Source organism: Homo sapiens, chromosome 1 (assembly GCF_000001405.40).
Source record: "Homo sapiens chromosome 1, GRCh38.p14 Primary Assembly".
In the NCBI taxonomy this organism is placed as follows: Eukaryota; Metazoa; Chordata; class Mammalia; order Primates; family Hominidae; genus Homo; species Homo sapiens.
The window spans coordinates 201,301,048-201,327,899 of record NC_000001.11 but is presented as its reverse complement, the minus strand read 5'-3'; the positions used below and the strand labels follow the sequence as shown (position 1 = coordinate 201,327,899).

Here is a 26,852-nt window from a genome sequence, read left to right as displayed (position 1 = left end):
CACTGAATCAAGACAAACTCCTTGGACCCTGATTCCCTATTCAGCAAAATGGACACAAGCCATGTGGCCTGTCTCACCTGTGCTTGTGACAACTCAATGCATGATGGATGTGAAGGCCCTTTGGGAACAGACGCACCAACTAGATCATGCCCAGGATGGTTGTCAAGCATAGCTGGAAGGAGGAGTGGAGACTGAATGGGGACGCTGGTTCCCAAAGGCATGTGTAGAAGGGAATTCCCACCGAGAGCGATGTCAGTGGATTCTCTGTGTGTCTTAGGCCGGGGGTGGACTCTGTGTTTTGGGGTAAGCTGAATGCTTTGGACCACCATTACACAGCGGGAGGAAGCTCACACCAGTCCTCCTTACCTGCCTCCTCGTCTCCCTTTGTCTATCTGGCAGTTGCCATTTGCCAAGCCCATCTTCAATGCAGTGCTGTTGGAAAGGAGCTCTGGATTGTCACATGGAGAACAAGGGCCACCCTTTGCTGTGACCTTCAGATTTCCCCAATCATCTTTGGACACCGTGCGTTCATGAGTCTCCCTATTGTCCCCTGCCATGCTGGAGGAAGAGCTGGGCTTCCTTCTGCCCCACGCTGCTCAACCAATCCCCAGGCTTCCCTGTCCTCCATCCCTGTCTTTCTCCCTTCTTTGCCTACTCCCTCTCCTCCCATGACAGAGATGCTTGAGTCTCCTCTGTCTTTAAACAGATCTCTTTTTACCCACTGTTTTGCTCCTTTTTCTGCAGGCTAAATTGCAGGGAGCAGCATCTCCTCTCAGCAACTCCCCATCCATCCCCATCCACTGCCTTGCCCACTGCAGCAGGCCCCATGGGGCTCCCCTTGCTTGGCCAGCAGTGCTCCTGGACGGCTCCAGAGACTTCCGAAGCACCGGATCCAGGGCCTTTTCCAGTGTCCATCCCCTGGTCCTCTAGGTAGCCCTGGGAACTGCTGCCCTGCCTTCCTTAGAGCTTTCTCTTCTTACCAGGTCTTCAGCCCCTTCTGGCACCCTGCACAGTTCCTCTTTTCCCTGGCCTTTCCTCCTTCTTGTCCCCAGCAGATGGTCTTCATATTTCTGCCCTGTCCTTCAAGACTTTTCCATACACATGCAACCCATGGTGGTCTTGCCTGTTCTCATGGCTTCGCCTGCCTGAACAAAGCTCCACTCTGTATGGTAGCTCTGGCCCCTCTGCCAGGGCCCACACCACCTCCAGCCTGGACTCCCATCCAAGTCTTCCAAACTCAACCTCTCCAAATTGGGACCCCTCTTACTCCCACCTAAAAGCCTTCTCAGGCTCTCCTCATCTGATGTGTCTTTATGAATATAACCATAGTCTCCAAGCTAAAAGCTCCAGCCTAATCAGCCCCACTGCTCCATTTCTTCCACCTCCTGTCCTTTATGTCCATGCTTATCACTGAGGAATGGGAAAGAAGAGGCCATGTGAAGATGTCATACAACAAGACCTTATACCCTAGAGGACTCTGTACCTGGCTAGCTGGGGAGGGGTGGAGGACAGAGAGGAGGCCAAGGTCACCACAGGACAAGGACAGCAGCCTCCAGGCTTCTCAGCCCACTCTGCCTTGCTCACAGGGTGAGCTTTGGTGCTGCTTTGATCATGAAACCCTCTATTCAAAACTTTGAATGGTTCCCCAGTGCCAAAGGTACAAGTCCAAGCTCTTCAGTTTGACATTAGAAGGGTTTTGTAACCTAGCCCACACCTACTTTTCTAGCTGGAGTGAACCCCATGCCCTCAAAAGACTTGTGTGCTTTTTGTCCACTCTGTTTTTCAGTTTGCTCCTAAAGGATCCCACCCCAGGCCTCTCACACATTTCCTTGATTTCCTCTGCCCTCCATGTTCTCAGCATCCCTCGCAGATCTCAGAGCCCAGAGACTTGATCAGAACGTTCATCACATTCATTTTCACGTAGACGCTGTCTTTGTCTCTCAGACTGTCCCGAAGGGCAGGGGCGTTTCTCTAGTGCCCAGCCCAGAGCCCAGCATATGCCAGGCCCTCTGCTCATGAGCAGGAAGAACCTCAGAAGAGGATGATGTCCTGGGCTCTTACCTGTCTGAGGACACCCTGCAGTTCCTTGCTGGACCACATGTCAGACAGGAGAAGCCGGGCAGCTTCTGCGGCCTTGGGTGAGGCACTGGGCAGGTGAGAAGTGCATTTGTGAGATGAGATTCCAGGAGGTGTGAGAAGGAGCACCCTCTTCCCTCCCACCCCCACTGCCAGGGCCTGGACACAGGGGAGGCCTCAGAGGAGGCCTCAGGTGTGCAAAAGAGAGGAGCCCCATTGGGGTGTGGTGAGCCTGGTCACCCTACCCAGTGGGCACAACCCCATGCCCCTGCCCACCTAGAGCACCCCAGGACTCTCCTCAGGGGCCATGAGGTGGCAGTGCTCTTCCACTCCAGTCCCCAGCCTTGTCCGGGGAAGAGAGAGCCCCACAGAGCAGGATAAAGTCCCTATTCAGTTGGACCTGCTGCCCCATGCCTCCTGCTGGCCCTCTGAGGACCTTGTGCCCCCGAGTCCCCCAGCCAGGAAGTGTGTTGCCTCTTCCCTCCATGCAGCCCTGGGGCCTGGATGCTGGACCCTTCTCTCCACGCACTCTCGGCTTCTGGAACTTCTCCTCCATTCAAGCCTCCCCCGTCCCTGGCTCCCCCTGCCCTTGGTGCTTCCCCTACTCCATGGAGAGCTGCGGGACTGCTTCCTGCTGTGCAGGGTGAGGAGGGGCTCTGATTGGGGTGCAGCCCGTGGGAGCAACCCCCCGCCCACCTGCTTCGGCACAGGTTGATGATGTTGTTGAGCATGCTGCTGGAGAAGTACTGCTTGGCCAGTTGTGGCTGCGAGGCCATCAGGTTCCTCACAGTGTAGCAGGCCGAGGACAAGATGTCTTCGGAGTTGCTGGTATTGCCAGTGTGGCTGGTGAGGAGCCTGGTCACCTCCGGGAACACCTGGTTCCCTGGGAGAGGAACGAGTTGGGGCACAGGGTCAGGATGACTGGGGAAGGAAGGGCTGAGGGGTTCCCTCTGGGGCCACACTCTTCGATAGCCTTCTGCCGGGCTCTGAGCCAGGTGGCCCTCAGGGCTTCCTGGCAGCTCCAACTCAGGGCTCAGAGACCCAGATAGGACTTTTGCAGATCTGCTCCCAGCCCTCAGGTGACAGGCTCCCTTCTCCTGTCTCCATACCTGTCTTTGGCCAGCTTCCTTTCTTGGAATGCTCATCCCAGGGAATGGCTTAAAGGATGACCTTCAAGCAGGCTTGAATTGTAGGGAGCCTGCCATGTCTTAGCTAGAGGGGGAGGAGAGAGAGGGACCTTACCCATCACTCTGTGCAGCAGAGGGTGGCGGGACATGTTGCTCAGGAGGGAGGCTCCGGACCGCACCACATCAGAGTTGCCAGATTGCAGGAGGCGGGCAATTTGTGGCAGGCCCTTTTCCTTCAGCCCAATCAACTGGCTCATGCCACTGGACATCTAAGAGAGAAGGAGTAGATGATGAGCTAGCCTGTGGCTTCCCAGGCACCATGGCAGGCAGAAAGGGGCAAGGAGCCCCAAAGGCAGACATCCCAGAACCCTTTCTCTTTCATATTGGAAGCACTAGCTCACATGTGGGCAACTACAGAAACCTAGGCTAACATGCACCTCCCCTTTCCCAGCCCTGATCCTGTCTCCTGGATCAGCCTGCAGCCCAGATGGGTGGAGAGAGGGAAGTCTCATTTCCCCTACTCATAGTGACCCAGAGTTAGCTTCCAGAGTAACCCAAGCGTCCAATGCTGCTCTCTCACCCCACTGTCTCAGCGCTGCCCCCATTACATCTCCCCACGCTATCTGCCCATGTGAAACTATATGGTCAAGGGTATTTGTCAATTAAACATCTGGCCATCTTCTTCCAACTTTCCTACCTCTTTAGAATCCAACACATATTTGTTGAGGGCTTGCCTGAGAAAAGAGGGCTAAGAAAGGGTCTGGGCCCACATGGAGAGAGAACTGGGGTCCCCTAGAGGTAGGCCAGTTCGCCCAGGCCTCTAAGCAACATAGCTATCCTGGGTGTAACAGGTCTAGGTGGGTTTGGCATTCTCAGAACTGCCCAGCCTCTCTCCTCACAGCCAGGGAAGTTCTCTGCCCTCGGTCTACTCTAGTGCTGCTGCTGCTCGGTTCCCTTTTCCTAAGTAAAGCTGAAGAACAGTTGGCCGCCTGGCCCATCTCAACTCTTCTTGATTGCAACAGGTTTCCTCTGGCTCTGCCCCATACCACTGTGCCCTCCAAGCTACATACATTTGGCCTCAACATCTGCACGGATTCTGTCACATCTTCTCTGGACCTGCTTGGACCCCAAACCCTCTTTTTCCACCTTTGTCAGTTCAACAAATGGGAAACTCCTTTTGCCAAACACCTTCTCCGCCGCATTCCCCGACCTCAAGCAGAGCCCAGGAGGCCAGCTGGGGACCGGGAGCCATGTGGCCAAGGGGATTGTGTGTGCATGGACAGAATCCAGCATCAGTGGGCCCACCCTCTCTGCATCCCCCAGCAGCTCCTAAAGGGCAGGAGTGTTTCCCCATTGCCCAGCCCAGAGCCCAGCATATGCCAGGCACACTCTGCTCATGGGAGGCTCCGAAGTCAGGGGACAGGCTGGGGGGAAAAGGAGGGAGCAGAGGCTGGACGGTGGCTGGAGGATGGGGCTGCTGCAGTAGAGAAGGTACAGTCCCACTCACCAGCCCCTTGCTGGCTGTCAGGTTCTGCAGGGCACCAGCACAGGCCTCCAGGGTAGCATCTTTCTTGCTCTTGCCCATGAGGTTCAGGTAGGTGCGGATGGCATCTGAATGGTACAACCAGCCGCTGCCCTTGGGGTTGGTCTCTTCCTCAGGCAGGGGGCAGTCATAGTTGTTGTTCTGAGGATAAAGAGCCGGTCAGGGGGGTCAATGGGGAGCCTTGTGAGAGGACACAACCCAGGCATTCTGTCCCCATCCCCCCAGCCTCAGGGTCGTGGTTCCAGATAGGGCAAGCTGAGGAAGCGCCTGCAGAGGCAGGGGGCCCAGGACAGCCCCGCTGCACCCCTTTCCTCTATGCACTGCAGCAGCTCCATGGGATGCAGGAATGGGCCATGGTCCCCCAGACTGTCCCAGGATGTGGGAGAAGAGAGCATCCTGGCATCTTGGGAGCTGTGTTCCAGGGCAGCCTTGGCCCAAACCTTCCAGATATGTGGGGCTGCTTTGGACTCTCCCATCATGATGCTTCCTCCTCTTCCAGACTCAGACAGTAGGTTTGACCCACCCTGGGCCAAAGAGGGTGGTCTGAGACCTGGATTCCACAGCTGGGCCCAGTGAAGGAGACCTGACAACCCATCCCTGGTAGGCTTCTGCTTCTGGGGAAACCTGGCAGGGCTCAGGAGATGGTGGGAACCAAGGCCAGAAAGAGTGAGAGTTCTGGCTTTCCTCAGATCCTCAAGGGCAAGGGAGAAGATGGGGGAGACTTGACCCACTATACAGGAAGAAAGACCAAGGCCTGCAAACAGAAGGCTGGAGTTTTTGACCTCTAAGGTGGTCTGAGCCCCTACAGTTCCAAGAACAGATTCCCCCTTGTGCAAGATGAATGGCCTCTACCCAGCTCCCAGAGTGCACCCTGAGCCCCAGGCCAAGGTGTCAGCATGGGCCTGTCCCTTAGGGCTGGCTTCAGGCTCCAGGAGGGCCCAGAGGAAAGGGCAGATGAGGCAGTGGCTCCTGGGGGGGTGCTTGATGGGGCAGGCCCCGCCCTGCTGATGCTGTGCTCACCATCATCTTGTCGCTCTTGTTGCTGAAGCAGCCAGTGGAGGACTTCTCGGTGTAGGCGTTGCGGGCGTTATACTCCAGCTGGCGGTAGCGGGTGGGCACCTCGGCGTCCAGGCGGTAGGAGAGGTTGTGCAGAACACACATGCAGTTTTCCACAGACTGGGGACCAAGGAGAGGCATGGGCCTGAGCCTCTGCCCGGCCCGACAGGCTCCTGGCCTACCACCTACCCTAGCTAATAAGAGAGCAGAGGCACCTGGGCTGCATCGGGAAAGATGAGCGCAGGCACCACCACACTATCAGCCTGGGAAGTCTTCCAGGGCCACCTCTGGGACCTGAGTTTGAATCTGTCATTTCCTGGCTGCATGAACTTGACTGGCCTCACTTCTCTGGGCCTCAGCTATCTCAAATGTAAAATGAGACTACAATTGTCCATTTCACTAGGCTATTTGGAAGATGATACAGAGAAAGCACTTATCACAGGGCCTAGTGTGTGGTAGGACTGCTATGGACAACATGCCAATGGGCAGACTGGGATATTGAAGAATGTGTCTTTTTTTTTTTCCAGAACAAACTCCTCCAGAAGAAGCCCCATGCCTCTAGATTCCAAAGCCATCTAGTGCCCCCATCATTCTTTCTTCCTGGGGCCAGTCCTTAGCTGTCAATGTCAGCGGTGCTAAGTCCACACAAAACACAGCAACACCTGGAGCCCAGGGCTTCATCATGGCAGCTGGGCTCAGATCTTTGTCAATCTCCTTTGGCAAACCTCCAAAGGACTAGGGTTTGGGGGCAGCAGATTTACCCTCCTAATGATGTTTGGCCCTTGCTGGGGTCTAAGGGAATCTGACTTCCAGGGCTTGGGGTTACACAGGTGTTGGAGATATTGCACACAGAGCAGAAAAGCATCTTGCCCTTTGGAAGCAGGCTGAGCAGCCCAGTGACAAGGCTCTCCTCTGTGGCCCTGCTGTTGCTTCCAGTGGAGGGAGCAGGAGATAAAATCCCTCCTTACGGCAACTGTGCTGAGAACCCAGGTGCTGTGATGTCAGCCCGTTCCCTGGCGATCTGGAGCCTGCTGGGCCTCACTATCTCCTGAGCCACTGTCCTGCCATGGTGGGAACATCTCAGCCTTCTGTTTATCTGCCCTCCACAACTTTTTTTCTTTCTGTTTGTCTGTGCTGTGTGTCCAGAAGTCCAGAGAGGGCAGCAAGATGACTGCCAATGGCTTTTCTGGGAGGCAGTGGGAAGATAGCAGTGGCAGAAGGAGCCTCATCTCAGGGGGGACACTAAGCCCTGGGGGCACCAGTATGGATTCCTCTGGGCTGTGGGGCAGGGCTCGGGGTCACAGGACAGGCCTCAGCACCACCAATGAAGCACAGCCAGCAGATGCTCGCTGGGAGCTTCCTCTGTGCCAGGCCCTCTTCGTGTTTTGCTTATTAACTAATCAAGCCTTTCAGACAACCCTTGAGGTTGATATGATTATGACCCTTTCCATTAGAGTGAAGAGTGAACCGGGAAACAGAGAGATTAGGGAAGCAGCTGCATCTACTCCACTTCTAAGTGAGGGAGAGTGGATTTGCATGGGCACGCTGTCCCCAGAGCCCACTCCTGTAGCCACCACTGAGCCCTGCATCCAGATGCCTCTTCTACCACCCCTGAGTCTGTGCTCCTGTCTTGTCACTGGGCCAGGCCTCAAAGGCACCCAGAAAATGTAGGGGGCTGGGCCTAGGGGTCAGGGTGCCACCAGGGGATGCACTCACCTTGTCGTCACAGCGGCTGGCCGCTACACAGTTCTGGACATAGGCCATGAGGGAATCAATGAGCCCTGAGTAGTTACGCATGGTCTGGCGGCCTGCATCGGCCGAGCTCAGGTTCCTGGGGGAGAGAAGAGGGTGGAAGAGGGCAGAGAAAGGGGGAAGAGAGAACGGGGAAGGTGGGGACAAGAGAGTGTGGTGGGGGACAGGCAGGAGAGAGAACAGGCAGGAGAGGGGAGGGCAGAGAGGAGACGACGGGGTGGAGATTGGAAGTTGTGGTAGAAGGAAGGAAGGAGAAGAGGAAAGGGAGGAAAGGAATGAAGAGAGGAAAAGATGAAAACGGAAGGAAAGAGAAACCATTTAGCCAATTCCGCCTGGCCCTGGCTGAGGCTGAAATGAGGTCTCATTTGCACTCAGTTCTTCTCCTCCTTCACTCTGCCCAGTAACTTTATAACTGGCAATGGCTCCATGTGGCAACGGTCCCTCCGCAGCTGCATCCCAAGGCTCACACCCTGCTACTAGTGGCCCTTTGCGGAACAAGAGCCAGAAGCTCCCGCATGCCCAGTCTCTTTCTGTGGGACAGGAAGAAGCCCTGTTGATGCTGGATCAGAAGTGGATCTGGGGGTGGCCGGGCTGGGCACCAGAAGCTCCCTCTCCACCCAAGCTGTGTTCTGCCCCCAGCAGTAGGCTCACTCCCAAGCAATGTGGGCTCATCCCCAAGCAATGTGGGCTCATCAGCCTGGTGCAGGTGGGGTGTGGCTGCTGTTGCTACCAGTAGCACATCAACCCCATAAAACTCTTAATTATCCTCACTTTTCATCTCCCCAGCCTCTCTGCTTCCTGGAGGCTGCTACCGGAGGCTGGCAGGGAGAAACACAAGTTGAGACACAGAGGCACATGCCAGCTGCACCCACCACTCTGGGGGGATTCTCAGGAGTTGGGAAAGACAAATCCCATTAAAGCAAGACAAACCCCATTAAAGACCCTAAAAGGGATCCTGCTCCAGGGTTCCAAGCCCTGTACCAGCCGCCCCTCCACACCCACCCATTTCGCCAGCTTGTAAACCACTGCTTCTAGAACAAGCCCTCCCACCAGCCCCACAGGGGCTTTGCCACACCCTGGTATGGAACTTAGGCAACTTTGGGTGAAGCAGTGCCATCTTCATGCCAATGAACATGGCAAATGGTTTTAACACCACAGCTGGGAAGTGACTCATTAGCAACCCATCGGTAGACTTTTGTCTAAAAGAACACTCTTCAAGATGATAGCACAAGAAATGCATTTTTTTTCATGGGGTGGAGGAGGGAAATGGTTGAACCAGTTTGGATATTCAGATCTAGGCATTTTCAAGCTCAGATTTCTGACTAATGTCCGCTGCATTCTCTCAAAGGGGGTGGTAGGGTCCTGGGCCTTATCCAGTTCCAGGGAAGTTAGGAAGGCCTGAGTCCCTGTGTCTTGGAGCCTGCCCATAAGAGGGAGTGCCGGGTTGTCTGTTATGTTCTATGCACCGGCTGAATGTTGGCTGAGATGGGGCTGCCTGGGGAAGGGCCCAAGGCTGGGACAAAAAGACCCCATGTATCCTCTTCTCTCACCTCAAGCAGCCTGTGGCATTGAAGAAGACCTCAGGGTCCACCACTTCCCGGGACATGTTGCTATTGCCATCGCACCAGCCAGAGAAGGGAATGATGACGCGGTCGGCCAGAACAGGCAGGGCGTCGGCAATGAGTTCCTCCTTCAGCTCGTCAGTGGAAGACAGGTTCCAGAGCAGCCCTGGGGGTCAGAGACCATCAACCCAATTTGTGCCAGGCTCAGGATGCCCTAGGGACCGAGGTAACAGCCCCAGCCTGGACTCTGGCAAATGGGCCCTACTGAAATGTCGCTTTCCAGGTAGCCCTGGTCTGTAGAACCTATTGTCTGTCTGTGTCATGAGGCTATTTCTCAATGCCCCAACCAGACTGAAGGTTCTTTGCAGGCAGGGAACATCTCAGAGTTCTCTGTCAAGGCCAAAATTATGCATGTGGAAAGTGATCAAAAAACGTTTGATTGATCAGTGGTTTTTAGTATAAATTTTAGCACTTGGAGTCTTCTAACGCTGTCTCTTTTCCATCTGAAAGTTATGCCAGAAATACTTATCAGTCATTACTCTGTACATGGTCTGATCTTCCCAGCCCAATTCTAGGTCTTCACGGTGACCTCTTCCTCTTGTGCCCCCCACCTTGAGTGCCTACCATATTTCTTGAACACAGGGTAGGTGCTTAAGGCCTGTTAACCCCTTCTCCCCTCAGTCTTACTCTCTTTCCATCACCTGGGAATCCCAGGGCTTGTGGAATATGGATCTTGCCTGGACATCAGCCTTCCTCCTTTTGCTCTTTAACCTCAAAAAGATGGTGACCCCTTGTGTGTGCACACCACCCAAGGTCACCCTCTGGACACCCCTAATTGGGCCAAGGCCAGTGTCACTAAACTCTCAGGATATTAGCCCTGGGCCAAATCTGCACAGCTGTGTCTTGGCCCAGCCTGGAGAGACAGGCTTGCACCCCAGCCTGGGGCCATAGCCAGTGGCCTTGCACAGCCCTCAGGCTGGCTCTCGGTGGCCGTGTTGTCCTACCAGTCAGCTGCTTCTGGATCTCGGCGTTCCCGGTTCTCCTCAGGAGGCTGACTGCCTCGCGGATCCCATTCTGCCTCCGGGTCTCCAGCTTGTTGGTGGTGCTCCTGAACACCAGGTTGCGCAGGGCCCCTGCCGCGGCCTGCTGGACGTTCTGGTTGGGGCTGCGGAGGAGGTCCACCAGCTTGCAGATGCCTCCCAGCTGATAGACCTGCCAGGAAAGAGTTGCCACGCTGCCTGGTCAAGGGAGATGAGGCTGATCTAGTTATTCTCTACTCAAAGGTGATTTTTTTTTTCAGACCAAAAAATCTATCAGTTCAGAAATATTCAAGTCAACCAAAATAAATAAGCAGTGTGAGGTCATGATAACTGACCCAGACCCGGAGGCAAAAGACCTGGATTCAGATCCTAGCTCCCATATCCTAGCTCCCATATCCTAGCTGGGAGAACCTCAGCTAGGGTCCCTCCTCTTTCCTGAGTCCTGCTTTCTTCCTCTGGAGAATGATGGTGAGGACCTGATAAGAGAGTGGATGTAAATACATTTCAAAACCCTAAAGCAGAACACAGACATAGAAATGCATACAAACTTATCCGGGACTCTGGGAAACTCATTTTTGACACTACATCCTTGGGCTGAACTGAAGAACCCTGTAGTGTCCTTCCTGCCAGCAAAGCTTTGGAGGCATCAACAGGCCTGTTTTCTACCGTAAGATGCCTGGAGAGAGAAGGGGAGTGGGAGAGAGGAAGCAGGTAGGAGGGCAGGAGTTGAGAGGTGAGGAGCAGTCATGTTCTTTAGTGGGATTTGAGAAAAGGGGTTTCTGTTGAACCCGTGGCTGGCATTGAAGTCTCTTCCATGACCAATGGAGGAATTGTACCTGCCTAATGTCCACTTAAACAGAGGGCTTTGCTCTGCAGAAAGTTAAGATGCCCAGCTCTAACCTTGGGCAATGCGAAGGCTCCTGGCAGCTGGGCAAGGCAAGAGAAGCCAACTGCAGATGCCCTCACCCATCTCTAAAAGCGGAGTCAGGCTGACACACCCAGGCCCTCCGCAGGCCCACCAAGGAGGAAGGTATGCAACCAGCTACCTGTTGCTTGGCAGATTCATCCTGGAAGCAGGTATGCTGGATGTAATAGGCCCCAATGGCCTGGTACTTCTCATCCTGGGAGCTCAGGTACTGCACAGCCTTGGGGATGGTCAGCCCACTGCACTCGATGTCCTCACTGCAGATCCTGTGAAGAATAGGCAGTGGGGGTGGTTACGGGGTGGGCTGGGAGCCCTGCTGAGGGGGCTCAGAATTCCTCCCAGCACACTAAGCTGCCACAGCCTCATCTGCCCTCTGGAGAGCCAGAACAAGGCAGCCCAGGCCCACTTGGAGAATACCCCTGGGAACAGCTCCTCTCCTCCAGAGGAGGGAAGGCTACACCCACTGGATTTGCCCCATGTGAGAATAGTGAGCCCCTGGTCACAGTTAATGTCCTAGCAGGTATGTTATCTCTCCACTGAGGAAAAACTCCTCCCTATTCCCTGAGGGGAAGCTTCCCACCTACCTTGCCATCTCTCTTGTTTGTGTCTGGTATTAGGAAAATGGAAGACAATGGCCATGATCCTATCCATCCATCCATCCATCCATCCGTCCGTCCATCCGTCCGTCCGTCCGTCCATCCGTCCATCCATCTGTCCATCCATCCGTCCGTCTGTCCGTCCATCTGTCCATCCATGCATCCATCCATCCATTTATCCATCCATCTATCCATCCCCAAGTCCAGCTGGCTCTTACACAAAAATGTTCACATCTAGCCTTTCTTCCCATTCTTATAGCCACCAATTTCCTGATCTTGATCACTTTAAAGGCAGCAAGGGACTTCCATATTTGGCTTTCTTCCTCAAGTTCCCCCATCTAAAATTTCATACCCTTTTTACTAGATAAGTGGTTCTAAAACCCAGTTCACTGTGTTGTTCTCTAGCTCAGAAACCATCAGCGGCTTCTCCATACTTCAGGTTCAAGTTTAAACAGCTTAGCCTGATGTCCAAGGGCAGGTATTAGGTTGAATCATAGGAAATGTCTGTAGTCAACCTTTTTTCAGCCATAAAACCAGAAATTTCATATGTTTTAACCTAATAACCCGGCTCCACTATGAACATTCCCCAGCCCCTATCCAGGGTCTGCTCCAGCAAGACTGTCCCCTTCACTGTACCCTGGCCAGGTCTCAGGCATGCCTCAAGGCACACCACTGGCCCTGCTGATGCCCCACATCTGTGAAGCCTTCCTAGGGAAGGGAAACCTCTCTTCTAAGAACCTCTCCAGCTCCCCTGGTGTAGAGTCACAGGGTGGTGACTGGCTGTGTCCAGCATTCAAAGAGGGAGCCCTATCCTTATGCTTTGACATACTTGGTGGTCAATAAATACCCATGGTTTTAGCTATAGCAGCCCAACTTCATTTCTAGGAAAACCACCCGAGGTGCAGAGTTCTCTGGCACTGGGTAAGTAGTACTGCTGCCTGCATTGAGAGAATGTCACCCTGCATTCATCAGTAAAATGTCACCCCAAAATGGCTTGACACTCATCCCTTCCATATCTCACCTAGAACCTCCACTCAGGGCCTCTGGTTGGGACAATGAGCTGAAGCCAGAGGCTGCCCTGATCAGCCTCCAAGACAGAGAGGTTTCTTAGTTCTTCTCCAGATCATCCTAAATACGCCTTACGGCCATCAGGTAGTTCGGAAACGTCTAGCTCTATAACGGGGTTCTGCTTATTTTCAGAACAGTGTGGTACCAGTAGGGAAGAGCACAGGATGGAGAGCCAGCTGTGTGGCCTTGGACAAACTACTTAACATCTCTGTGCCTTGTTTTCTCCTCAGGAATACTCATGCCTGCCTGGTGGCGGGTGTGAGGATTAAAGATGAAGAATGCAAAGCTCCTGAGGCTCTCAGAAAAGGAGTTAATTGTGTAGCTCCAGAACAGCTCTGGGTTGTCCCTATCATGGCTGTGTCTCCCGCACTTGTCAAAGAGCCTGGCATGTAGTAGATGGTCGGCAAACATTTGCCAAATAAATAAATAACAAGAGCAGTAGGTGGTGATGAAGGACAGTTCAAAGGTTCAGGGAGCCCCCAGCCCTGAAGGGCAGGCTCAGTGTCACTCACGACACCTCTGCGTCTATGGCTCCTAACGGGGCACCCCATTTGGTCTCCTTTGTTTCCTCTGGGTGATGGCCTTCCACATGTATGCACAGGAGTTGTGCTCTGTTCTGTAGCAGTAGATCATGAAGCCCCATGAAGTCCCTCAGGGTTTTTGTTGTTGTTGTTGTTGTTTGTTTGTTTGTTTGAGACAGGGTCTCACTCTGTTGCCCAGGCTGGAGTGCAGTGACACTATCTCAGCTCACTGCAACCTCCCCCTCCCGGGCTTAAGTGATTCTCTTGCCTCAGCCTTCTGAGTAGCTGGGACTACAGGCACCCGCCACCATGCTTGGCTAATTTTTGTATTTTTCTGTAGAGACAAGGTTTCATCATGTTGTTCAGGCTGGTCTCAAACTCCTGAGCTCAAGCACCCTCTACCCGCTCCTGCCTCGGCCTCCCAAAGTGCTGGGATTACAGGCGTGAGCCACCACACCCAGGCCATGTCCCTCAGTTTTTATGTCTATTTGTCCTATTTGTCCTTTGGATTTACCTGTCTTATAACGTAACCTGAAACCCATTCTATTCCCGTCGTCCATACCGGGGCATATTCCTTTGCTCTTTCAGAACATGGATAGAGATTTACATGCCTAAGATCAGAGGTTCTCAAACTCTAGTGTAAATCAGAATCACTGAAGGGCTTGTTAATATATGCATTGCTGGGCCCCTCTCCCAGTGTTTCTGAGACAATAGGTCTGGGTGGGTCCCCAAATGAGCATTTCTAACAAATTCCTGGGTGATGCTGATGTTGCTGGTTGGAGGAACACACTTTGAGAACTATTAGCCTCTTTCTGTTCATAAACTGTGACCTTTAAAACCTACACAGTCAATGTCTGTTTCACCTTCACACTAAGAACTTCTTGAGTTCAAGGGCCCATGGGGCCAGGTTCTCCCCATTAGGGAGTCCATTACACCAGGGGCAATGAACTCCCCAGGGACAGAAGCTATGTCTCTCCTGTCATCCCAGGAGCCCTTTGCAGGGTGCAGTCAGGCTAAGGGTGTGTCTCCCCACTGGCCCTCCTGGCTCCCCAACCCAGCCCAGCAGCACTCACTTGGAGCTGGCCCTAGAGTGGCCAAAGGACAGGTCCTTGTTGCAGGAGATGGGCGGGATATACACAGGGTCCTGCTTGGAGGCACAAGAGGGCGGGCGCACAGGGCACTTCTTTATGGCCTTCTGACCACTGCAGGTGCTGTAAAAGCTGTAGCGGTTCTGGGTGGTCTTCTGGCCCTTGCTGCCCAGCGTGCCCTTGCGCAGGGTGCCCCGTGGGTCACAGTAGAGGTCGGGCTCACTGCGGCTCGCCTTGATTTTCTGCATGAAGCAGATGTCGCTGCCTGCGCCGGTGGTGTTACAGCTGCCCCGGGGGTAGTGCCGGCTCCAGTTCTCCATCTGGCTGTAGGAGCTGAAGCGCCTGTTGTCAGGCTCCCGCTTGAGGGTTCCATTGTAGATCTGGCCAGGGAAAGGGAGAAAAGCTCAGTCAAGGTTCCTAAATGGGGGTCCTGGATCCAGCAGGGCATGAGATACAGCCCTCCCCAGCCCCCATAATAACGCTTACAGAATCCCAGAATGTTTGGCGTGGAAGGAACCTGAGCCATCATCTGATATATTACTTTTCTAACTGCAGGCTGTGACCCATTGTGGATTATAAAATCAATTTAGAAGACTATGGCCATCATTTTTAAAAAGATGGAATAGAATAATATATCCTGGAATATAAAATATCAGAGTGCAGTGCAGGTAGTAAAGTCACACATTGTTTTGTGAAACAGTGTATGGGTACTGGGTTGCAACATACGTGACATACCTAAAGGAGCTACCAGGTGTCATAAGAGGGAGGATGAACCCAGGAAGCCAAGACAGCCCAGGAAAGGTGTATGCACCAGTATCAGAGCCCCATGCTAGTCTCACCCCACAGACACAGAACGGGTCTAAATATGTCTCAGAAAAGTGGAGGAGGATGGTCTGCCCAGATGGGGCACTTCGAGTGAAGCCAGGCTTTATGACGAATGGTGCAGTGTTTCTTTACGTGGGTGCTGTCGGCACCTGAGGCAGAACAATCCTTCGCATTTATTACTGTGAATTGCTGTCAAAAAAGTTTGACAACCTCTGATCTGGTCCCACATGGTACAGTCCAGGAGGGGGAGTTGGAGGCCCAGAGAAGAGTGACCTTCTAGTAGTCACTCGGTGAGGAAAGGACAAAACCTGGACTTGAGTCTGGGTCTCCAAGCCCTATGCCATTCCCAGACACCAGCAGCTTCTCACACAGCCAGCCTTCTTGGGCCCCTTATACTCAGCACACAGAAACTTCTATTCTGGCCAGGACTGTTTTCTACTGTTCTTTTCTGCTAAACTCTTCATCTTGCCTCCCCTCTTCCAGGGCAAGAAGCAAAGGGTAACAGGTCACCTCAAAGGCCAAAGAGGGACAATATTCCTGCTCCCTGGGCCCTTTTACAAGGGACTGTGAGCTAGGGGCCTGCGTGCACACATGGAGGCAGGCCTGGGGCTGCAAGGTGGGGTACAGGGAGGGCCTCCTGGGCTTTGTTGTCAGGCTGGCAATGGGGAGAAGCTGGGCAGAGGCTCAATCCGGCACAAAAACATACAACAGACAATGAGGTGCCTCATGAGCTCTGTGTGAGCCCAAGTGGGGAGTCGGCCTCCTTGGGAGGGGCCTGTGAGGTTGGAGACTTGGTGCGAATCAGTTCTGGAACAGAACTGTCCGAGGAGGACTTTCCCAGGAGCTCACAAGCTGGTGGGTCTGGCCTGCTCCAACTTGTTCTCATAGTAGAGGATCAACATCGAGTATGATAAAAAAACATCTCCACACAGGTGCTGACTTGGGACTCACCTTTGCTGGGATGGGCCAGGGCCAAACCCAGCAACCTAGGGCCTGCCCGCCCACCCCTGCCCCTCCCTGAGAGAGAGAGAGTATGTGTGTGTAGGGGAGGTCGTTAGGCAACTGGGTAATTCCCTTCTGCACCAGATCTAGCCACACAAGCTGGGGAGGGGCTGGCACTCGACTTGGTCCTTTTTCATCTCTGCAGGGAGTCACAGACAGCAGGAAACTCCCATGGTTTGAGCTCCCAGAAAGACTGGGTGTCAAACCACCAGTCAGAAGTTGCATCCAAAACTCAGAAGCCACAGACTGTTAACCTTGGCAATAGCCTGCTCATCCCCTTCACCCACACGCCCAGCTGTGCACTCAGGCAGGCATAATTTTCTTCCCCAAACTGGGTCAACCAACCTACTCCAAAGAGAATTGGTGTCTGGTTGTTGGGAGAGGCATAGATGGACAATCACAAGGCATGGGGAGAGCAGCTGGGCAATTTTCTGAGCATCTGGGTATGGAATGCGTGTCCTGCAGATTACAGGCAAAATATGCCATGAAAGCCTTTACAAATGGCCACACCCTCCATTCTCCTCTCAGGGGAAGGAAGGTGGCAGATGACAACATGGAGGGGGAAGCCCAGCATTGCCAAAGGGCAAAGAGCCAGCTAAGCCTTAAATGGAAATGCAACAAGGAGCACCCTTGTTCTCCATAAACGACACGCCTGGACGTCATCTCAGACACCTAATGAGAAGCCCAAACACTCATCCTGGCCCAAAACCAGCAAACATGTGATCATGCTGATTGAGCCTCTCAGAGGCTTTGGGCTTTGCTTTCCTGTGCTGGGAAAAGGAGCAGCTGGCAGCCTTGCCAAGTCTCAGCAAGGGTGGGCTGCCCACAGGGAATGGGCATTGGCTGCACCTGCAGGGGAGCGGGCAAGGTGGGGAAGGCAGAGACATCCCCGTGGGACTGCATTTCCCAGCCTACCACCATCAGCCACACCCTAGTGGCGTCACCCATTCCTGGGAACCCCACCCCAGCTCCTAGTGTCATGGTGCTGGTGGGCTGTGCTGCCTGAGGACAGCTGGGTATGACTCTCTCCCATCATCATGGCCCTTTGCTGTCACTTTGACAAGCAGGAGTAAAGCCTCCTCTCAGACCCCGTCCTCCCCAAGTACCATGAGGGGGCCTGGATTCCCTCCAAGGCACAAGGAGGTGAACTGCCACCAGCTCTCCCTGCACAAATTGGCCTGGGACCTGGATGAAGCCTGCAGCCTTGAAGGCTGAAACGGCAGCAACTGCCTGGGAATCCAGGTGCTTCCTCCAGCTCACTGGGCTGAGATCTACAAACTGGAGGAAGACCCAAGGTCAAGAACACAGACTCTGGAGCCAGCCTGCCTGGCCTTGTCGTTGCCCAATGGGTGGCCTTGGGCAATTACTTAAGCCCAACGTGCCTCAGTTTTTCCATCTGTAAAACTAGTATAATTGTAGCCAACATAGAGGATTGTTGGGAGAATCCAGTGAACTAATGTTAGTAAAGCACTCAGGACAGTCCACGATATGAGTGTTTGCTCGGTAGGGACATCATATCCCTCTGACTCTTAGATTGGGCACAGGCTGGCTGCCTTAGGACTTGGCTCCTAAAGGAGAGATTTTATGTCACCTGTGACATACCTAAATGGGATACCAGGTGTCATAAGAGAGAGGATGAACCCAGGAAGCCAAGACAGCCCAGGAAAGTGTATGCACCAGTATCAGAGCCCCGTGCTAGTCTCACCCCACAGACATAGAATGGGTCTAAATATGTCTCAGAAAAGTGGAGGAGCATGGTCTGCCCAGATGGGGCACTTCGAGTGAAGCCAGGCTTTATGATGAATGGTGCAGTGTTTCTTTACTTGGGTGCTGTCGGCACCTGAGGCAGGACAATTCTTTGTATAGGCTGTCCCAAGCATGGCAGGATGTTTAGTGCCCCAGCCTCCAGGTTCTAAATGCTAGTAATGCCTCACAGTCATTGCAAAATGTCCCCACACGTTTCCAAACACTGTCTTCCAGGTCCCGAGAGAGCAGCTGCAGCCAGAAGAGGATGCACGGGCAGTGCACGTGCGCCCGCTGCAGGTGGGAGAGCTTCACCGCCAATGCCGGCTCTCCCAGCCACACCCCCACACTCAGATAGCAATCTGCTGGCAGCGTCTGGCTGTTTGAATACAAAGGACAGTGACACACACACAACCTCTTGTCTGGTTATCCCATGGATCAGAACATTCCAGAGGCTGGAAACTCAATTTCCTGAGAGCAGAGTTGGTCACTCTGCCAGACAGCAGGCTAGACTGGACAGCCAGACAGAAATCCAGAGCATTCTGAGAGACATGTTTCTTCACTTGGGAGACCAGTGGGGCTTTTGAGGGGTCCCACAGCCCGAGGTGAGCCAGGAAAAGCTGCTTTTAGCTAGGAGCCCCCCAGCCAGTCCCCGCTTTGCCGCCTGCTTGTGTAATTCCCCTTCTCCCCTTCCTTCTTGGAGAAGTGGGGTGTTTTAACCCCACACTGAAAGCTCCCCTCTATTCCTGTCCCTCATTAAGTCAGGAAGCTCTCAGAGGCCAACCCCTCCTTTATAGGCAAGGAGACAGTCTCAGTGAAGCAATACAAGCCCCAGATCCAGGGCCTCAAAGAACTGAATATGACCAGTTGCCCCTTGAGAGAGCCATTCAGTGTGGAGTGGCCCCCAAAGCTGGAAAAGCTCCAGCTTGCCCAAATCATCGGATAGGGCAGTAACTAACCATTCAAAAAGAGATGGCATCCTCCTGTCCTTCCATTAGAGAGTCCTTACTGACTCCCCTCTTTTACACCCCTACTGCCCAGGCTCTGACTCCGGGTCCCATCAGCTTACCACCAGGCCACTCCAGTGCCCCCCACTGGCCCCTGCCCAGCCCCCAGGGCTCTGGTCCCTGCCTTGCGATGCCATCACTCCACCTTCCTTAGGGAAAGCTTTCATCAGCTCTTGCCGTGCTGGAGAACCTACAGTGTCTGCTCCTTACAAGACAAACTCCCCAGCCCAGCCCCACCCTGCCTGTCCAGCCATCTCTTCCCCTCCCCAGCACACCCCTCTAAGCTGCCCCATGACCTCAGCCACATCCCAGGCTCCCTGCTTCTGTTCAGATGCTCCTCCACCCTGGACAGCTTTTCCTCACCTGCAGCCTCCCAAATCCTACATTTATCTAAGGCCTCTTCTCCACCTGTCATCTCCAAAAGGCCTGTTCTAACCCAGCCCTGTCTCCATAATGACCAGAGTTGGAATTATTTGCCCTTAAAGCCAGGGGCCTCTGGTCTTGTTTGTTTTCTAGTTGCTAATGTAGGTTTCTGTCATTTCCCTGAGCTCTCCAGGGCAAAGATGCCTAAAACAGGGCTGAGCTCACAGCAAGAGCTCAGTGAAAGGTGGACTGTGACTGTGAGAATTTGTGCTAGGGGTGGAGATTCAGGATGCTGACAGCACTGCAGTTCCCATGGCCTCCAGGGCACAGAAGAGAGAGAAGGCACCATGAGTAAAGTGGGCTGGCGGTAGGTAGGGCCGTTCTAGGCAGGGTGAGGCAGCCTGTGCCGGTGCACGGCATGGGGTCCAGCTGTGATGTCCAGAATGCTTCCCTTTACCGCTTGACCTGAGCAAAGCAGCTGGGTGGTTGAGCCCAGAGAATTCTATCCAACTCTAGCTGGACAGACAGAAGCTGCTGGACTCCTTGGGAGCTGGGTATGATGAAAAGAGTGTCTGTGTCCCCAGCTATTAGCCCATTTTGAAACCAAGCTTCTGCCAGCAGGGTGGGGCCGGCCAAACCGGTTCTCCAGCGAGACACACCCTGGTCTGCTTGCCAAGTCACACACCCAGCAGTGTCCAACAGGGCCATCTTCAGCAGCGTGATCTCCCAAGGCCCTTTTCATGAAAGGGAGTGCACGCACAGTTTCATGGAGTCCTCGTGCCTCTCAGGCCTGGTGAGGGCTTGCTGGAGAAAGAACCTTGATTAGAAGTCTTTCAAAGACAGGTTCCATTTGCGACTTGCCTAGTACCTGCCACTCCCCACTCAGTGCCCAGATGAGGGGCTCTCATGTAGTAGGCATGTAGTGACCCTTGTTCATCTTGCTGGGATTTCAGTCAGGACTGGGATATTGGGCAGAGCTGACCCATCACAAGGGGCACCTCGCAAGTGGCTTAGCGGCTCTGCTCTACCCTCTCTAGGGGTTTGGAGAGCACAGGTGCTCCCCGAGCAAGGCTGCCGAGAATGGGGCACACAGGGCTCCAGGCGGTCGAGAATCTTCCCAAAGGGGTAGGGGTGCCTGCTTATTCAGCAGTCTGAGTCAGCATGGGAACCACTGAGGCCTGAGTCACAACAGATGGGACTTCAGCAGGGGAAGTGTCGATCCCTGCCTCCTGACCTCTCTGGGCACGGCTCCTTCTCTGAGAAGCAGGGGGTTCCACCCTGGGCTGGCCCTCCTTTCTTTTCCTGGAACACTGCTTTGGGCAGAGCAGCCCCATTGCTCAGAAGCCTTGACGCCTGGACACAGAGCAATCCCATTTGGCCTTGGAGGAAGTGTGGTGGGTGTGCCTCACTGTGGGTCCTCAAAGGCAGAGGGAGCTGCACCCACAATGCCATCACCAGCACCCCGAGACCAGCAGTGCCCACCCAGGTGAGAACTCCAGAAGGTACTTGCTAAGTGCTACTGAACTGAAGTCGCTAAGTGTCCACTGAGAGAAGGCACAGCAGAAGCCATAAACACCTTGATGCCCAGTGCAGGTACATGTTGCCACCTGAATTTTTTAAATGTTAAAAAAATGTAGTCCAGGTGCGGTGGCTCATGCCTGTAATCCCAGCACTTTGGGAGGCCGAGGCGGGCGGATCACGAGGTCAGGAGATCGAGACCACGATGAAACCCCATCTCTACTAAAAATACAAAAAAAACAAAAAGTAGCCAGGCACGGTGGTGGGCGCCTATAGTCCCAGCTACTCGGGAGGCTGAGGCAGGAGAATGGCATGAACCCAGAAGGTGGAGCTTGCAGTGAGCTGAGATTGCGCCACTGCACTCCAGCCTGGGTGAGAGAGCGAGACTCCGTCTCAAAAAAAAAAAAAGTAAAAGTTTTGGTGCCCATCCTCAGAGTAGAGACTTCCCCAGAGATCTGGTTAATAATGGTCAGTATCCCTTATAAGCTTTGAAAAGCAGAAACTGTGAGCATACTTCAATCATGCCAGTATTAACAAATGTCTATGGATAACTGAGGACAACTTTTCTAAGTAGAAAATATCCTATAAAACTTTGTAGCTTGCGGGTCTTTTGGGAAGATGCTTCTTTCTCCAGTGAGGCCACAATTCTGGGATAAAGAAGGCATCTTAGCCTCTTGGGCTCCAGGCTCTAAGCCTGCCTGCAAAGGTCAGGTCCATGGCAGTTCCTAAGCCTGGTGTGGGGACAACACGCACTTGTGCAGCCCAGCGCCTAGCCGACACCTGGTGCTCCATCAACACGCAACTATGCCAGCTCCTGCATCAGCTCTGTCTCCACTTCCTGCTCCTTGCCTATTTACTGCACTGTGGAAAAAACAGGTTTTCCGAAATGTTTCTGTTTTACCTTTCCCCCTCTACACCTGAGAAATAGGTTTTTCTCAGCTCTGAACACTGCTAGGATGGGTTTGGAAACAAGAACCTAAGGTTTCATACACAGACCTGTCTGTTTCCTTTTGGAAGGGAAATCCCTGGCAGGCGTTTGCCACTTCAGACGCAGCTCTCACAGCCCGAGTGGTGGAGGACCACTGGCCCTCAGCCATCTCCCTTCCATGGCCCCAGAGAAGTGGAAGGCATGGTCATTCTGCCCTCCAGGAGCTCCATGTTCTGAGGTCATAGCTCCTGGCTTTCAAACCCAGAGGCTGGTTCAATTGTCCCAGTGATGGTTCATCATGAAGAGGGAAAGCTGAGGGGGCCGTTCTGATATGAAATAACTCCTGGAGTCCTGGATGACGAGCCAGCACCTCAGAAGAGCACCCTTGAGGGTCAGGAAGATCCCACTGGGCCAGATGCCCCCCACCCTATACTGGGAAGTTGGAGGGAGAGGCTGGCTGGCCCCAGAGCCACCCCATGCACTGGAACAGGAGGTGCTTCCCAGCCCTGGGAAGAGGAGGGCCAAAGGCTGGGAGGTGGCAGCATCCTGAAGGGCAGGTGCTTACCTGGCCCAGAAAAGAGGTCCCTGGAGACCCAACAGTGGAAAGAAACCACTCCTGCTGGTTACAGTTTTTGTTTGTTTGCTTGTTTAAGACAGATCTGTAGCCCAGGCTGGAGTGGAGTGCTGCCATCATGGCTCACTGCAGCCTTGACCTCCTGGGCTGAAACAATCCTTCCACCTCAGCCTCTCAAGCAGATGGGACCACAGGTGCACACCACCATGCCCAGCTGATTTTTAACTGTTTTATGAGACAGGGTCCCCCTATGTTGCCCAGGCTGGTCTCAAACTTCTGGCCTCAAGTTATCCTCTTGCCTCAGCCTCCCAGAGTGCTGGGATTACAGGTGTGAGCCACTGTGCCTGGCCTGTTAGTCAAGAATTTTACATGAAGGGAGAGACACTTGACTGGGACCTTCAGTGCTTGGGTAAGAGATCTCACCTTTGGAAGAGAAGCATGCGTGCATGCATGCTCACACACACGGACACACACTTCTATATGCACTCCCCACCTGCCCACGTGGGACACACATCCCATGCCCAAAGTGGACTCAGGTAGGGAAGGTCTTTGGAAGTTGCTTGAGCATATCCTGAACACCATCACTGGTGTGGCACTTCCCAGTGTGCAGAGGGCTTCCCCGTTCATCACCTTGTGATTATCTCCCAGCTGGCCAATGAGGTGGCAGGGCAGAGAGCAGCAGCTTTGTTCTGTTTGTGAGCATATTAAGCTCAGAGAACTTTAGGCTGGTCCAAGGCCACGCAGCTAAGATGGGGCAGACCCTAAGCCAGGACTCAGGTCTTTGGTGTCTCTTACAGTGATTTTCTTCCAGCCACTCTGCTACCAGAGTCTGGTGACACAAACAAAGCCTACAGGGCAAAGAGTCTCTATAGCTAGGGGGCCCTCTACAGAAACTCTAGCATCTCTGGCCAGTTGCTGGCCCCGACTCCTGGAAGACCCCATCCCCAGTGGTTCTAGACACAGGAGGTGCCAGCCCTTCTTCTTTGAGCCAACTGTGGGAGGTTCTTGAAGACATTTAAGAAGTGTGTAGTTGCTTAGCTATGTGTCACAATTCTAATGCCCAAAGACCTGGGCTGGAAGACCATCTGTCCCAAGGGATGCCAGGCCTGTGGGCAAGGAGACCTTGTGGTCATGATAACTGTTCTGTCCTGGCCAGGACCATGAGAATGAAGGTGCAGTGAGTGATGGGAATGTGACTGTTTGGTTCCTCTCCAGCCACCCTTAGTGGTACTCTAAACGCACCACTGAGCACACACAACTGGGGCTGAGAAAACAGGGACTAGTGTTAAAGCTGGTACCTGAAGCTGAGCCCTGGATCTTCTGGAATTAGTTCAGTCTTGCTGAGCTTCTGGCGTGGCCAGGAAGGAGGAGGAGGGAGGAATGGGTCCCTGGCTACCCGTGAGCACCCCAACTCAGATCCCAGCACTGTGGGGCCTCCTGAGAGCTGATTAGGACCCTAGGTAGATATGAAAGAAGCTTAGGGACTTCCTGGGGGCCCTCTCCAGGTTGGCCACAGAGGGCAATCCTCCCACAGGGCATAGCACCCAGCAGACCCTGGTGAGTCCAGAGAACTGTAGGTGCTCAGTCAGAAACATCCACCTTAAATGTGCCAGTTAAAAAAGTGTTCAGCCAGGCGTGGGGCAGGTCACCTCGGTGAGGGGAGAGGGCTCTACTTCATGGCTCTGCTCTTAGGACCTCAGCTCTCCTACCTTGCCTGCTTTGGGAAAATTATCCTGAGCCATTAGCATATGACCCGGAATCTCCCCCAAGTGCTGGCAACACACTACTGGTGGCTGTGGGGTGACTCCAGGGAAATCAAGGACACAGCAATATCTAACATTGAAACTCATAGAAAGGACTTCTTTTTCCCATTTTGATTACCACAGGGAGAAAGTCTAGCTGGGTGTTAATATATTTATTTAATATTTGCCAACCTCTCTTTTTAAGAAAAAACAAAATAAAACAAACAAACAAACAAAAAAATAAAACTTTTCTGCCAGGTAAAAGTACCTAGCTAGAATTAATGTTATGTTTTTATTCTATTTATTATAATTGATTACCAAGGTTGTGGTTAGCCTTCATTTGTGGCAAAAGATACCGGTTTTTGTCATTTGGGTGAGTGATATAAAGTTTCCTTTCAAAATAAATACATTGGAATAGCTGGGCATGGTGGCACATGCCTGTAGTTCCAGCTACTTGGAAGTCTGAGGTGGGAGGATTGCTTGAACCCAGGAGTTCAAGACCAGCCTGGGCAACATAGTGAGACCCCATCTCTAAAACTGGCACGTGCCTGTAGTTGCAGCTACTTGGAAGTCTGAGGCGGGAGGATTGCTTGAATCCAGGAGTTCAAGACCACCCTGGGCAATATAGTGAGACCCTGTCTCTAAAATAAATACATGAATAAATAAATAAGTGCAGTGGAACTGATAAGTAATTCCCTTAAAAATAAGTAAATAATAGTTGGTATGATTTTGCAAAAATTGTGACAGTAGAATGCAAATGACGAATGTCTGGGAAACATGATTGCCCGTAGTGGCAAAAGTACCATGATGTGCCAGTGTGACCAGGAGCCCTGAGCCAGGAGTCAGGAGACCATGCTCCAGTCTTGGTCTCCCCTGCCTAGCTGTGCAGCCTCAGGCCGTCGCCTCGCCTCTCTGAACCTCAGTTTCCCCAACCACAGCATGCCCTGTAAGGCTTCTTCTGAAGGAAGGCAGTTCGGCAGTTCGGCAGCCTGTGATTCACCCCTTGCTGAAGTCACAAGCGGCCTCCTTCCCAGCCTGTCTTCATCCCCTTCCAGGCCTCGCCCTTGGGCACGCTGTGGGGGCGGGAGGGGAGGGGCTCCGGGTCTAGAGCTGCTTTTCTCCCCACCTGTGTCTCTACAGATCCCCCGTCCCCTCCCCGTGCCTGAGCTGATTTTGTTTTCAGCTGAGTTTGCTCTCCTGGGGCAGGCAGGCTTCCGTAGAGACATGCCAGGGCCCTGGGGGAGAAAGTAGAGCCTCACCCTTGCAAAGGGTGGGGACGGCTCTTCCACCCGCTTGGGAAATTCTGCTGCATTTGTCTCGCTGAGTCTAGTGACAAAAGGAAAACTCTCAAAGCAGAAATAAGGCACCAGAAGATACCCCCAGGACTGTATTTTGATGACTTAATCCCATGCCCTGCTTGCTGGCTTCGAAACTTGGCCAGCAGGAGAGGCTTGGCCCACTTCTCCCCCTGCCCTTCTAGGTCCCTCCCTCCTCTTGCTCTTCACACCCCGCTCAAAGTCCACTGGGGTCCAGACTCAGTTCTGCCAGATCTATCTGTGAGGTCACAGGCAAGCCCCTACACTTTTCTGTGGTTTGATTTCCCTGCAAATAAAATGAGAATAACAAAGCTTGGTCCACCTACTGAGCTCACAAAGACTGAAGGATCAAGTCAGGAGATGAAAACACAAGCAGTTTGTACAAGTTCAAAATGCTACACTAATTCAAGGGATTATTAAATAACCAGGTGCCGCGGGTTGGAGCACTTCTCCCTTGAGAGCTGACTGAGGACACAGCGCAGCTGAAACAGGCTCGAAAGCCACCACCTGCGGCTCATCCAGAACCCAAGACCCCCTCCCCAGATGTCCAAGACTCAGAACTGAAGCTGGGGAAGCAAGGCTTGGAGGTCATCTGGTCCCACGCCTTCAATGACAGATGAGGAAACCGAGGCCTGGAGAGGTTTAAGTTAGCGTGTGCTGCAAAATTTAGCTTTTAATTATATCTTCTTGTGCTGTTGTTTTGTCTGTTATTTGTTTTCAACTATAGCGTAAGGACTTTAAATACTGGTTGGTTGAGTAGATTAGTTTTTGTCAGGGCCAAAAGAAAAAAAAAAAAGCCCAAAATGAAACTCCACCAATTTCTGCTGGGGCAAAATAAAAAAGTTTATAATTATCCTTGATTCTTCAAATCTTCTCTCTAAAGTTTCATATTAGGGGAGAAGGGGAGAGAGCAACAGCCGACTCATCCAGAAGCTTCCTTCTCCGGAGAAGACAGAATTCCATTCTCTGTGGCCAGGGAATTGTCTGCCTCACAGTATCTCATCAGAATGGAAGAAATCGAGCCCCAGGCCCATCCAAGCATAAGTGTTCCCAGCCTAGCCATCAACTCAGAGCTCTACACAACATGAATGGAAATGATGGAGGAAGATTAGTTGTTGATTAGTGAAGCTAAAGGAAGGAGAACTGGCTTCTGTTGTCTCTGGGGAGAGTGGAGTTCCTTCCTGCAGACATCCTGAGAAGGATCCGCTGCTGATCGCATCCTGGGCTGCCAAAGCTTGGTGCTCCCCACTTGCTAAGCAGCTGCCACACTGAGTCCCTTAGCAGTGACAAGTCTCCCTGCACATCCTGACCAAATTGCCCTGGCCTTCCCTCTCCATTCCTCTACAAGGGTCCACACTATCAGGACAGTGACTGGTGGGAGTCTGCCCTCTCCTGGGTCTGGTGCTCCTCCCTGGGGCAGGAGGATGGAGGGGCCAGCGTGCTCACTCGGCCCTGAGGAGCATTGTTGTGGGTTTGTGAT

General features: G+C 53.1%; 1 protein-coding gene across 2 annotated transcripts in view, besides 2 other annotated features; it reads right to left on the bottom strand.

The window, feature by feature from the left end:
• The window catches only part of PKP1 (plakophilin 1), a 49,484-nt gene that overhangs the window by 5,090 nt on the left and 17,542 nt on the right, over positions 1-26,852 (bottom strand). The window contains exons 3-13 of one of the 2 annotated variants that reach the window (NM_000299.4): positions 14,340-14,734; positions 11,203-11,347; positions 10,121-10,328; positions 9,105-9,282; positions 8,022-8,084; positions 7,519-7,633; positions 5,767-5,922; positions 4,711-4,887; positions 3,319-3,472; positions 2,773-2,959; positions 2,062-2,146 (exon numbers count right to left, since the gene is read on the bottom strand). In NM_000299.4, coding sequence (NP_000290.2) covers positions 2,062-2,146; positions 2,773-2,959; positions 3,319-3,472; positions 4,711-4,887; positions 5,767-5,922; positions 7,519-7,633; positions 8,022-8,084; positions 9,105-9,282; positions 10,121-10,328; positions 11,203-11,347; positions 14,340-14,734 — 1,863 coding nt within the window. The remainder of the gene's footprint in view (positions 1-2,061; positions 2,147-2,772; positions 2,960-3,318; positions 3,473-4,710; positions 4,888-5,766; positions 5,923-7,518; positions 7,634-8,021; positions 8,085-9,104; positions 9,283-10,120; positions 10,329-11,202; positions 11,348-14,339; positions 14,735-26,852) is intronic. The other variant, NM_001005337.3, reaches the window with a different exon arrangement.
• Positions 5,814-6,315: an enhancer, noted in NCBI's record as "H3K4me1 hESC enhancer chr1:201290713-201291214 (GRCh37/hg19 assembly coordinates)". NCBI's record gives its function as "activates a minimal SCP1, AML or CMV promoter by ChIP-STARR-seq in primed H9 embryonic stem cells {active_cell/tissue: H9 hESC(primed)}" and the evidence as "EXISTENCE:reporter gene assay evidence [ECO:0000049][PMID:30033119]".
• Positions 24,606-25,111: an enhancer, noted in NCBI's record as "H3K4me1 hESC enhancer chr1:201271917-201272422 (GRCh37/hg19 assembly coordinates)". NCBI's record gives its function as "activates a minimal SCP1, AML or CMV promoter by ChIP-STARR-seq in primed H9 embryonic stem cells {active_cell/tissue: H9 hESC(primed)}" and the evidence as "EXISTENCE:reporter gene assay evidence [ECO:0000049][PMID:30033119]".